Source organism: Homo sapiens, chromosome 4 (genome assembly GCF_000001405.40).
Source record: "Homo sapiens chromosome 4, GRCh38.p14 Primary Assembly".
Lineage (NCBI taxonomy): Eukaryota > Metazoa > Chordata > Mammalia > Primates > Hominidae > Homo > Homo sapiens.
In genome coordinates this window covers 144,453,051-144,466,118 of record NC_000004.12, presented here as the reverse complement: position 1 = coordinate 144,466,118, position 13,068 = coordinate 144,453,051, and the positions used below count along the sequence as shown (strand labels likewise).

At 37.0% G+C, this 13,068-nt stretch overlaps 1 long non-coding RNA gene across 2 annotated transcripts in view; it reads left to right on the top strand.

The window, feature by feature from the left end:
• LOC105377462 (uncharacterized) overlaps positions 1 to 13,068 on the top strand; it is a 360,687-nt gene that overhangs the window by 96,029 nt on the left and 251,590 nt on the right. The gene's annotated exons all lie outside the window — the stretch shown is intronic.

Here is a 13,068-nt window from a genome sequence, read left to right as displayed (position 1 = left end):
TCACCTGATATTGTCAAAGGTAGTCTTATTCCATCCAAGAGAGTGGTAAGCCTACTTGAGTCACCTTCTGTTACTGGGACAAGTGTTGGAAATATTTGTCTGGGTGGCCTTCTTTTCCATGGTTTTGGTGGGAGATATAAGATTCCTTTTTGCTGCATTGAGTCTTCAGTCCAGTGGTACTAAACAAGCTCATCTTCTTGCCGTCTTTCAGAATTCTCTTCTGTTTGTCTTTGGTGACATTTTTCAGGGCTTATAATTTGCTTTGCAAGAAGAAATAGAAAAAAAATCGATTTACATTATCTTGAAAAGACCAGAAGTAAGCCATATTATTTGAAACAATAATTTTTAAATTAGCATTTTACTCTTTCTAGAAACTGCTTACATTACAAAAATGCAAATGTAGTTTTTTCTAACCTATTTAGAAATAAAGAATTAGATGTCTCTGGGATGTGGATTTCCACACTTATTAACTGAGAGAATTATTTAAAGCTTTTTGAAGGTTAAGTAAAGGACCTTGGAATTGGCCTGAAACCTGTATCAAAATTTCCTTTCTTTTACTTGTCTTCTTTGTGACATTTCCTTACAGTCTCTTCTCTGTGTATATTTAATATCAACACATTTCATTTTAGTCTATCTTCTTGTTTCGACCTTGCTTCTCATTCTTTGTAATGTGTGCAGTCTCTGTTTTATGATATGATTCCTGATTTGAGCACTATTCCACACGCAGCTTCCCAATTCTGGTAGCATCAAGGTATATTGTTACTAGCAATGAGAGGGACAAAGTGGGCAATAGAAATAGAAGGAACAAAGGCTGCTTGATGAACTCAAATTTAGTGTAGTAACCCTGAAAATATTCTTCCCGCCAGAACATTAGGACATGTTATCAATAATTTATTGTAAAGAGGTCTTCGTATATTTCTTTATCACAAACTTCCGACAGTTTTGACTGGGAAAACAGGAAATCATGACAGAGAGAGGAAAGAATTTGAAAAATCATATAGAAAATGAGGAATGTGGATAGATGAAAACTTACTACATATATTAAGGGGTAAGAAAAATAGGTAGTGTAACCTGGCAAATTGAAAGTATTTGCGGGATGCCACCATCCCCTGGCTATCTTTTACAAATTATAAAGTTCTATTATTAGCCCTTCTGCCTTTTTTCCTTTTTCTGCTTTTCAGGGTTTTTGTCTTTTAATAGGCTTCTTTCTCCAGCTCTGGAAAGACATTATGCCAATTTACATATGCTCTACACTTTTTTGTTGTTCTGAGCTGCATAAGAGTATTTATAATTGCTCTTTTGTGATCTGATCTTTTAGTTTTGTTGCCAAATGTTATTCTCCAGAGTAGATGCTTCTACAGAATATGTATGAAATAACAGGAAGTGTACCAAAAGATTGAATCATGATCTTGCAAATATTAAAAATGCCAAGCACCAACATGCGTTGGGTATGGTATCAAATTGTTATAAAATCCATTTAAATTATTAAATGTTTCCTTCATGAAAAAGATTGGTTGTTGATTTGAAGTCACATTAAATAAGATGGAGTAAAGAGAACCCTTTGTAAGCCAAGTGCATGAATTCAAATCAACAAATGCCACCACCTTCAAATAACACTTTTTAAGTACACAAGTGTTTGAGGTCTGTACTCTATTTATTAATAGAATGAAGACATATGTTCTAAAGAAGATGTGAGGTGTTCGCGTGCTTTTGTCATTTGAGCGATATGCAAGTGAGGTGTAAATGAAATTTTATTGATAAAACACTTCTTCGTTCATTTACTTCATATGAGATTTTATACCCGTCTGATCTTTTTCCTCCACAAGTCAGAACAGAGTGTGGCTGGAATCACCGGCGTGCATAAACCTCCGCCAGCGGGGTCTGTGCTGTGTTCTCAGGCCCACTGAACAGGCTGTTTACAATGAGCAGCCATTTGGAAAGCAGAGCAGGGCTTCTCACTATATCTCACAGAATGGCCCCAAGTGCCCCAAGCCATGCCTGTGTTGCTCACACAGTACACTCTTTATAAGCCTAGAGATGGAATTTCAATGAGGAGCACTGAGGTATGTTTTTCCAAAAGCGGCATCTGGCTTGAGGATTGGTTACGTGAATGGCCCAGCAGCTGGTTATACCTGTGGTTTCTGCTAATTAGCCTGAGGTTGTGCTGGCTGCCTCCTTGGGCTTTCAGAGTACATCCACCCTTTCGTCATCATCACAACTCTAAAGATGGCCTAAATGCGTGTGTGGTAAAGTCCAGTGGCCTTTGAACTTGATGCGGATACCTGTCTTATTGTGGACAGAGTGGATATTTATTCCCTGGCCTACACTTATCCACTAATGATGGGTCAAGTCATTGGGATTTCAAATACAGTAATAATTAATCCTGAGGAAGTTTAGCCTAAGTACAGGTTTCCTTTCCCTTAGAACTGACTGTCTCTCCCTAAAGTGGGCAAATGTTTTCTTTAAAAATTAAAAATATTTCTGTATCCATCTGTCTCTGTCATTCTTCTCTCTGTATTTATCTCTGTGGACACAGAACTGCTCTGGACATTTAAGGGATGTATATGTTTGTGTATGGGTGCATGTATATTTATAAACAGGGCTTTACTATAAGGGGAAAGAAGGATTCCTGGTACAACTGTGGTTGGAAGGGCCCACTTCCTGTAGTAAAGGCCTCTGGACCACACAGGGAACAGCCGCATCCAGTCCTCCTCCCCACTTCTCTCCTCTGGTCAGAAGAGGCCCAGTGCAGAAAGTGCCTCTCAAGTGATGTGCAAAATATAACCATAACCATTTTGCCTGTCTGATGGCCTCTGTGCATTCAAGAGCTTGTTGCAGAGCCAAATAGATACTATCTCAAAGAAAGAGCACAGAATCAGAAGTCTGAAGATGTGGCTCTCTTTCCAGGCCTATGTCTGGACAAAGGAGATACTTCTGGACAAATCCATTCAATTTCTTTGCCTCCATTTTCCCAATTTATATAAAATGGCGATAAGTAAATCATATTTGTGTGTATCTTGTATCGTGGAATGTAATTTGACTCTTCTTTGAAAGTTTCTCAGATAAAAATATGGGGAAAATATGAGAAGATACAAATAATTTATGAAGCTCTATCCAGAAGAGATTCTTAAATACTTAAAAATCAAGGCCCCAATTTTGGTTAGATGGCTGTATTAGACTATATCAAAATTGAATCTGTTTCTGCATCAAAAGCGGATAGAAAACTTGGCTAATTATGGCTTAACAGTGTTGGCTGACCATACAGTCCCCAGACCCAATGGAAACTCATGCATTTTACACTATCCCTTTCTCTGCCTTTTCTTTCCTTTTCTCTAATACCCTCTATGGCTAATTCGAACTTTCTAGCAAGACAAAAACAAAACAAACAAAATTTTCTGCTTCTTCTTTAATAGGAAACATCTATCCACTCTATCTTCCATTTTTTGCTCTCTTAAATTACTTTTGACATGCAAGTTCGCTATCCCACAATCAGCCTCAGTTTTCGTCCTGCACCAATCTTGAAACAGGACTCAGCATTTTGTAATTCACGCTCCCCTCCTTGCCACTCCCCACAATGCATACCAAAGCATTAATGAGCAATGGAAAATTTTCCTAAGATTTCATAGAAAAAATAGATTAGGGTGTTTACATTGCTCCCAATCCCCACTCCCTATAAACAACCTAATAAACCAGAACTTGACAATTTTTTTCTTATAAAATTTGTTTAACCTCTGACTCAATTATCCTTGCCCACTCAATTTCTGCTCTTGCTCCCCTACCATAATTCTCCTTTATGAAGTCTGGGTGCCAGCTCCTTTCCAGGAATTCAATTCAGGAGCCTGCTAGGGAGAACCTGTGTGCATCTCTTTCCAACTCTGTTGGAAAGATACACAACAATTCTTCTCTCACGCTCATTTTTTTTTTTAACCAGAGAGCCAGTTGTTAACATCTACCAACACACAACGGGTGATGTACAAAGCTTTTAATAACAGGTGCAGCACAGGCACTGAGTAATCAGAACCGACACAGTTTTGCCCCCTAAATGCATTCAGCTGAACAGCAGCACAGTTGTTTTCAACAAAGCAGGTGTCTCCTTGCAAAAGAATGTTTCTCCCAACTTCTAAGTACTTAACTGTTTCTCCAGATCTTCCGCATTGCTTTTATAAGAATTCCAGGGAAGAAATTTTGTAGTATACATCATTCGAAAATGAAAGAAATTTCATAATATCTTACTAAGATTTTTTTGAATATTGTTTTCATTTTTTCCATAAGGGAGACATTGGACCTTTGAGAAAATAGTTTTTTTAATTAAATGATGCCTTATATTTTACAATTCCATATAGAATATTTAAGCCATTGTCTTTATTAAGAGAACTGCTTATTTCAATTAAGATGAGTAAAACGTAATAAGGAAACTGGAGAATTCACTTAAAAATCCCATTTTAGAAATATTAAAATGTAAAAAGTAAAGTGTTTCTTAACATTCAGGAAATACAGCATAATTGGGTTGAGGCAGGAAAATGAAAAGAGATGGGCAAATTGAGACACATTTTGAGACTGGAAAAAGCAGCTTTAGAAGTCCATACTGCTGACATGGAGATGTTCCACTTAATCTCTCTACAGATTTCTTTGTACTTCCAGGGAAAGAGTTGGACAAAAGTAATCTTTTACCTAATTAGGTAAGAGAAAGAATACATACAAAATACTTTTTTGATAAAAGAGTTAGCATTTCCAATTAGAGTAGAAAAAACAAAAAGAGGATTTGATGTATGACAAAGCTCTGGTGTTCCTGAGTCAGACAACTCAGAAACCTTGTCTAATTTAAGGGAGAATTGGGTGAAACAAAGTAGCACTATAAGATCCACAAAGAAATTGAAAGCTGCACCAAACGGTTTCAGAATGATAACGAATTTAATTGAGCTGCTTTAAAAATCTTTGCTAAACACAACTCATCTTTAAAATAAGGAAGCATTAGTGTTATTATATTTGGTTACTGTAGAAAGGGTATGTTAAAATTAAAATTAATTACCAATCCAATGCTTCTCTTTGAATGTGTAATTATGGTTGTATGTCAGATCATTTCCTTTGGATTTATCAAATCAGGGCCTGCTTAATATTACAACACAAATGTTTGTTGCAAATATTATTTCCACTTGTTTTCTAATTTGTTAAGCATTAGTATCAGTTTTTAGTTTAATTATTTGCTTAGGTTTCTTCCTCTTTACTCTTTCTAATTTTAAACTTAGAGAAAATTATTTTAAAATTCTGTGTATTTGACTCTGTTCCTGCTCTCTGCATTTCTTCCATTGACTTTATCCCATTGAAAGACCTTCTGCATTCAGAGATAAGATCACTATTAATCTGTTTCCTTATTTCCTTTATTTATGGTTTCATGTATAGTTAATTCTTTAGTACAAATGAAAAATTTTAGTGAAAGATTTTGTGATAAGTCTAATTTTATTATTAACTCTTCAGTTAACTAATCAATCAATGGTACCAAATCTTTGCCATTTCTTTTGCTCCATTGATTTTGTAATGTGACCTTTGCAATATAACATTGCTACATAGAATAAAATCTGTCTCTGACTTTTCTGAGATGTGGTGCACTTTTCACTTTAAGATGACAGGGAATGTGTCTGGTTTACCACTGTATGCTCAGTGTGTGTGGTGGATTCTTAACAAATATTTGTGGAAGAAAGTAATCTTAATCCGCAGACACAGCCCGAAGGAGTTTGTGAGAAGTATCTAATTTTCACCATAGAATAACAGCAAATTAATTGAAGAAATTAATCTTCTGCATCAGCATTGCTTTTCCTTTGTTAATTCTTGTGTCTATTTTTTTTTTTTCTGTATCAGGTTTAAATGCCTCTGCTTAGATTTTAAGACTCTAAATAACCAGTTTATCCCCTGGTTTCAATTTAAACTTCCACTTTAACTAGACTCCTGCCCCTCCCCACGTCTCTGCCTTTGCCCTTTGCTTCCTCACCCTGGCCTGTCCCTGTTGATTCTCCAGTGAATAGACACCAGCCACTGATGCCCACTTCCATCCCCTTGCTATTCGTTGTCTAATAATCACTTTAACAATTTAATGTATTTTACATTGGGGGGGCGGTTTTCTAGTAATTATATATTTTTTAAATGAAATATTCGGCATTGTATTTTCTAACTGGTTATTTATTTACCGATTTTGTATATTTTTCTTAATGTTCACCTCTCCTTGCTATAATTCTTTTATTAGTTATAGTTGCTTACCGTTTGCTTATATTGTCTTCTTTTAGACAATTACATGAGAAATTAAGATGATTTCTACTTCCCTTTTCAGTCATTAATTATCTTAGTTATGTTTAGTATCTTAATCTATTGACTAAAACCTGCAAAGAATCCTAATGGTGGCAGTAATGAATATCTTTACCTTATTTCTGATATTAATGAAAACAAAAATTGGTCTTTGGGTGTCTTGAGATAAATATTACTTATAGAAACAAAGTATTTCTCTTTCTAGTCTGCAGCTGAAATTTTAATGGATAATTGAACTATTAATTGCTGGCCCCTTGTATTTCAAAATTAACAATCTTGTATTTTGCTGCACTTTAACTCTGGAGCCCAGTCTGAGGTGGACTGAAAACATCAGAGTGGGGCCACTCTGGTCTAGCAGTGGTCCTGTGGGGACTCAAATGGCCTTGCTTCTTCATATTACAACAACCTTGGCTGGTAGGTTTTAATCTTCCATTGTCGTGGGTAAAGAAAATGAGAGCCCAAATTGTAAAATGACATTTATAATTAGGGGTCTCATTTAAATTAATGATATTTAAATCACTCTGCCAGAGAGTGCAGGGCTGGAATTATAGGATCTTAGCCTCCTTCTCACTTGTCTCCTGCTTTAGCATCTTGAAAGAGGCCAGATTAGTCCCAGGAGTGCTCAGGGGCTTTTCAAGCCTACGCACATTTCCACATTCTGATACATTATGTCAAAAAGAAGCTGTCACAGGAGTGATCTAGTCACTCTAGAGTTCACTAGAGTAAAAGTGGGCCACACTCTCTCTGGATCCACTGAATTTACTCAGATGGTATGTGTTAAACCCAAATTTATAGGATATGAAGGGGAAAATGACTCTCAGTCAATGCTGAATTGTGACAAAGTTAAGCTTGAGTGAGAAAACATTTTGAGTGGAAAACAAAGAAGACCAGAGTGACAGAATCTCTTCCCCTCCCTCCCCTCCCCCTTCCTCCCTCCTTCCCTTCTTCCCTTCCTCCCTCCCTCCCTTCCTTCCTCTTTTCCGTTCTTCCTTCCTTCCTCCCTCCCTTCCTTCCTCTTTTCCGTTCTTCCTTCCTTCCTCCCTCCCTTCCTCCCCTCCTCCCTCCTTCCCTGCCTTCATTCCTCCCTTTATCCCTTCTTTCCTTCCTTCCTGATAGTCTTACTAGTATCCCTTCATGGAAAATAGAGTTTGAAGAGGTTTAATAGGAACCAAAGGATCAGTCTAATAGGAACCAAAGGATCAGTAGAAGAAGAGCATTCACAGCCTGGCAGGATAGCCTGGGGACCAGTGAGAGTTCACGACACCATGTTTTCCACCAAGGATCAGTAAAATAAAAACAAACAAACAAACAAACAAATAAAAAAGAAAAGAAGAAGGAAGGGCAAGAGGAAAGAAGCAGGAAGGATGAAAAAATAATAACACATAGTTTTAATCTTTATTTTTAGCAAAGTAAGAACATTTAGGAAAACCTGCAATCAATTGCCATCATTTTTTGAGAAAAAAGAACACCAAAAAGTAGAAGGGTAAGAAGTATGTAAGATTAATCTATGAATAGCTTTTATAGAGTTTACATTTAACTTTATGAAAAAAAAATCCATTATCTTGACATTTGTCTCCCTCCTAATTTTTGCTGCAGATGGTTACAAAACCACAACACAGACTGATACTTGTCCCCAGACTGGCTTTTAGGAGTCTCAGGCAACCTGGACTCTTATGACCCAAATCCTTGATTTACGCTGAAAGATAGTGACCCTTAGGGACTACAAAAGCCAAAGTAATGTTCTTAGGGAGCCGAGTCCAAAGGGTCTTCAAATGCAAAGGAGTATGTGGGAAAATTGATCCTGGTATAGGGTAAGGCAATGTGCAGCTCCCATGGGGCAGAGTCCTTGGGATGGTGAAGCCATTGGTAGGATCACTCAACAAGCAGTTAAACCCAGACAGTCACAGAGCCCTGCAGCTGGTAACTGGCTGAGACCCTTGTGGGGATCAGAATGAAGGTAAGTGGTGCTGTGAGGAGGACGTAGTAAGGAATCCAGCTGAAATTCCAGCTATTTAGAGGGAGATAATTATGATCCTTACTGAGAAAAAATTGCCTGCTTAATAAAACCACACACCTATTTGTAACATATAGGTAGCATCTGTGTCAAAATATTTTAAAATGTATTTCCTTATATAATATTTCTACTGACTATGCTGATTTGTCATAGTTCCTCTTTTGTAAAACTCATGGGAATGACTGAACAATGAACAATAACTTTCTACAGAGTTACTTTAATACACTCAGTAGCAAAAAACATTAATTCTGGGAATTAGTTATACAAATTGAGCTAACTCCATTTTTCCATGACATTTAACTTTCTCAACTTATGAGTGGCCATTAACTTAAAATGCTTAATTATGAGTTTCTTCCTCTTTGGACAATGGATGATTTCACCTTAATACCTGGATAGGTCATTCTACCTACTCTTCAGCATCTTTTGTCACAGAGCTGGATGCTGATTGCCCTGTTTGCGTATGAACTGTCTTCTTTGAACTCAGCTCCATTTTGCTGTCAGCAATCATAACTGATTTCTCTGAGTGAACAGAAGTCATCACTATAACATGTGCCTGAGTTAACTATTATAATAAACCATCATATAGTGTATCCATAATGTTATTTTAATTATTCTTAATTAATGTTTTCAAACTGTTTTCTGTTGCCCAGTTTTAAACACTTCTTGACTATCTCAAACCAAAAATACTGGACTAACATGAACCCAGATAACCACTAAGTATTTCAGAGCTTTCCATGTCATTGGTACACTGAAGAGTCATTCTGATTTCCAAGCTAGCATGTTACAAAAGCAAATTTTTGGAAGTGAAACATTTGACAATGATATTTTGCCTTGTAATAGCTGATCAGGTTCCCACAGTCAAGAGACCTGGGTTAGTAGGTGATAACCTTGAGTTTCACTGAAGGCTAGAAGAAGCAGAATCAAGTTGTATGTTCTCTGCTGAAAATTGCTGCCTCATGCTCATTTTCCTCCAAATCTTGTTGTTGTGATGGTAGGACCTGAATGGGGGGACCATCTTGTTACAGAGTCTCTAGCCTCCAGCTGGCAAGCATGTGCATTCCGTGGCAACGTTGTGGAATAATACTTTCCTTACTGCTAGTGTCTGCCTAATTCATTGTGCAAAGCTGAGGGAACTCACCAAAACTTACTTTTACATCTATCCCTTCTCAAGAGTGTTTTCTGCCTTTTACTTATATCTAATCCACCGCCTTGCCTAGAAGTGATTAACTTACATGGAGGTTCAAAAGTTGCAAACTATGAATGGGCTCAATATAACCTCTTGAAAAAGTCAGTGACTCAGGCTGATGAAAGAGCTGGGGACCACCAGCCACATGAGCCCTGGGGATTCAGAGACACTGCAGTCATGTCAGCCTATGACTGTTAATAACTAGACAACTGATACATTCTGTACCAACAGCTGGAGCTTCTGGGAGGTCTTTAACCATATCCCTGAGCAAAGGGCATTGAGGTAATCTGGGATGGAGGTCACCAACGGATGGAAAACTGTGGTGGGGTTCCTACTGGTGAGGAGAGAGAAGAGGTTACAGCTGTTTTGCCAAATCCTCTGTGGCTGGATTCAGTGCCCAAGTGATGATTTCCATTGCGAATGCAGTGTAACATTGGTGGTATCTGTCTTTGGGAGAAAAACAAGTCCTGATACTGAATACCACTCTTTAGTAAAGGGACACTGCCAAAATATGTTCTGTGGGTCTTATTTCAGATAAGAGATTTTCTTATCTAGAGCAATAATTTCAGGAATAAAAATGCCTTTATGAAATTAAATGAATGATGAAACTTAATGCATAGAAATCATCCTGGTGTTAGAAGGTCCTTTATTATTCCTGTCTCCTAAAATTCCCAGGTTGAAAGAGAAGGTGAGCAGTTTCTTAATATAATTAAAGTATGTGATATAAAATACAAGTAACTTTTTTTCCTCTACCCCTCTAACCTGCAAAGTTTTCTTTGAGTTTTTAGCACTACATGACATATTGGTAACTCAACTCATGCAAAGCCTGGTTCAGAATGTTCTTCTGATCTTCACTCTGAACAATAATCTTCAACAAAAACCGATGACCATATATATTTTTGACATTGCCCTGGCACTAACCAAAATGCATGAGGCCATACTCTTCAGGGTCTACTTCTCCAAACAAGCACAGAGGACAGATGTGTGAAAGAACAAACAATGCCTAAGATTGCAGAAATACATAATTAAAGTATTTAACAATTTTATAAGCAATGATACAAATGAGTTTTGTTATGTGGTCTGGAAATTTTGTGACTTCACCTATGATGAAGGGAGACATGTGAATTACATGTTAAGGAATGATGTCTTCTACCTATCTTTGATGTGCATGGAATGCACCCTTTGCCATGGACAACCAAGAAAGCTGAATAGAAGATTAATATTTAAGCAATAGGCCAATGAATACAAGACTCTGGCCATGCAACCAGAGCCATCCTAGGGTCAGGTTCATTAGGGGTTTGCTATGTGAACACCTGGAAAATTAGAATTCATTTTGAGAAGGCTCACCTCCTATTTGGACACAGATTACTTGGAAAAATGTGTACCTACTAACGAAAAAGCTTCCTCCATGTCCTTTTTTCCCCCCTCACCGTTATATCATTATACCAGTGTGATGGGTATATTTTTACCTGTTCAGATTATTACTATTCAAGCCTAATTTAATCCTTGTTTATTTTGCTGGAATCCATATATCAGATAAGAATCTCAAGTTTCCAAACATATATTTGCATGCACATACACATTTTCATTGCACTAGAGTTAATAGTTTAAAGCATACCAAGTAATGAAATTCTTAACATGCCTTTTTATTATAAGAATTGGGATGAATATGTTAAGATCACCATAATATATTCTTTATGGTGGTTGATTATTCAACTAGCTTTTGAGAATAACTGAATTGTGTTTACTGAGCCTTGAATATGGTCTTTCCTCAGCCTTTTACAATGAGTCAATCATCAAAACCTGGAAATTATTCCAAAGTAATATTGTCATAATGGCAGTAGGATACATCTAAAAATAGACCCATTGTTAGTTTGCCTCTTTCAAGTCTCATCTCTTCTTAATCTTTCTTACCAGAAACTGTGGTCCTTGGACACCTGTCCTGATTGTCATTTACCTTCTTAGAACTTAAATTTAATAGGAAAGGAACATTAAAACCATTTTTAACTGTTGATTTTTATAGTTAAAACTTTTTTAATTGTCCTCTCCTCAACTTGTCCCCAAAGTTTATTTTACCGCCTATGCCATTGTTTCTGTCATTGTTTATTAAAAATAAATAATGACTCTCATTTTCTGTATGATTTTGCCAAGGTCTCCTGTCTAGCCTTCTGACAGCTTATAGATCTAATTAAGTTCAATAAACATGTATTAAGTGCCTATTTTCCAGGCTCTGTGCCAGGCTCTATGCCATCATTTAGAACTAAATTATATACTGTTTTTATTTATTTTTTTTTCACATTTTCCCTAGGTATGTCATCTAGCCAGCCAGAAAGCAAGCCTCTCCCTGAGGGCATGGGCCAGTTTTATAACTCCTTCAATAGACCTGTGCTTAACACAGGCATGCACACACACTCCTTGGTAGATTTATTTACATTGTTTTTCCAGATCATTCTCCTGGGTGGTACATTATTCTCCAGTTCTCTAATCATCTATTCTCCAGTTCTCTAATCTCTAATCATCTGTAGCACTAGTTAGAGTCCTTAGTTCCTGGTTGCTCAGGACTTAGAGCCACAGATTCACTGTGTGAATCCTGTTCCTTACAATTATTCTGTCCTAAGCATTGGATTATGATCTCCTTCAAGGCGAAGCTATATTTCTGCCTTCTTCATTAGTCCCCTCAGCTTTTTCTCTGCTGTAGCAAACTTCTTGTAAACTCTGGTTTCCTTAAAGTGAGAGGTTTCTAGGGAATAAAGGGTCATGCACTTTTCTTGGCTCCTTCTTGTCTCTGTGCTCCTGGCTGGGGTGTGAGGGCTTACTGCTCAACTCTTCTTTGCCCATTTGCTGAAAGAGAGACCCAGTGCTTTTGCTCACTCGAGGAAAAAAAACAAGGGGACTTTCAAATAAGATTAAATCTTATTTGGTCAACTGCCTAAAGTTGGCATTTGGAGAAAAAGCATGGAAATACTTTGCATTATATTTGAGTCTCCTTGCAATATACTATACTAATTATGCCGGCAATTCAAAACTCAGTTCAGTGGATATTTTTCAGGTGCCCCAATTAGGCCTAGAAATAGAAGCCTGAGGCACTTCACATGACATTCAATATTCAACATTCAACACCCAGCATAGTAAGACAGGCCGTCACTCACTGAAGGTGTTTGGCTCCAGTTATGACCCTAATAGATACTAAATGGTTGGAAACTTTAGAAAATGGGTTATACCCTTCGTACTTTCCCCCCACCCCATGCCAAATAAAACAGTGTTAAGAGTTTAAACAATGTATCCATAACATTTTTTTTTCTGACAAAAATCTGTGTTATGGCAAAACAGGGCCAACAAATATGTAATTATAAAAATAGGATCGTAGTGTGCATACTGTTTTGTGGCTTTAGGTTTTTATTATGTTGGGTTTTTTGAACTTTTTTTCATACTTTTAAATTTAATTTATGTTACTAAATATTTTTCTATACTGGTAGATTCTGAAGTGAGATTTATGTCCCATGGGTTATTAAATATTACCTATTAAAAAGGAAAAGAATTTAATGATGAGATAAATTATGGAACTGCCAGG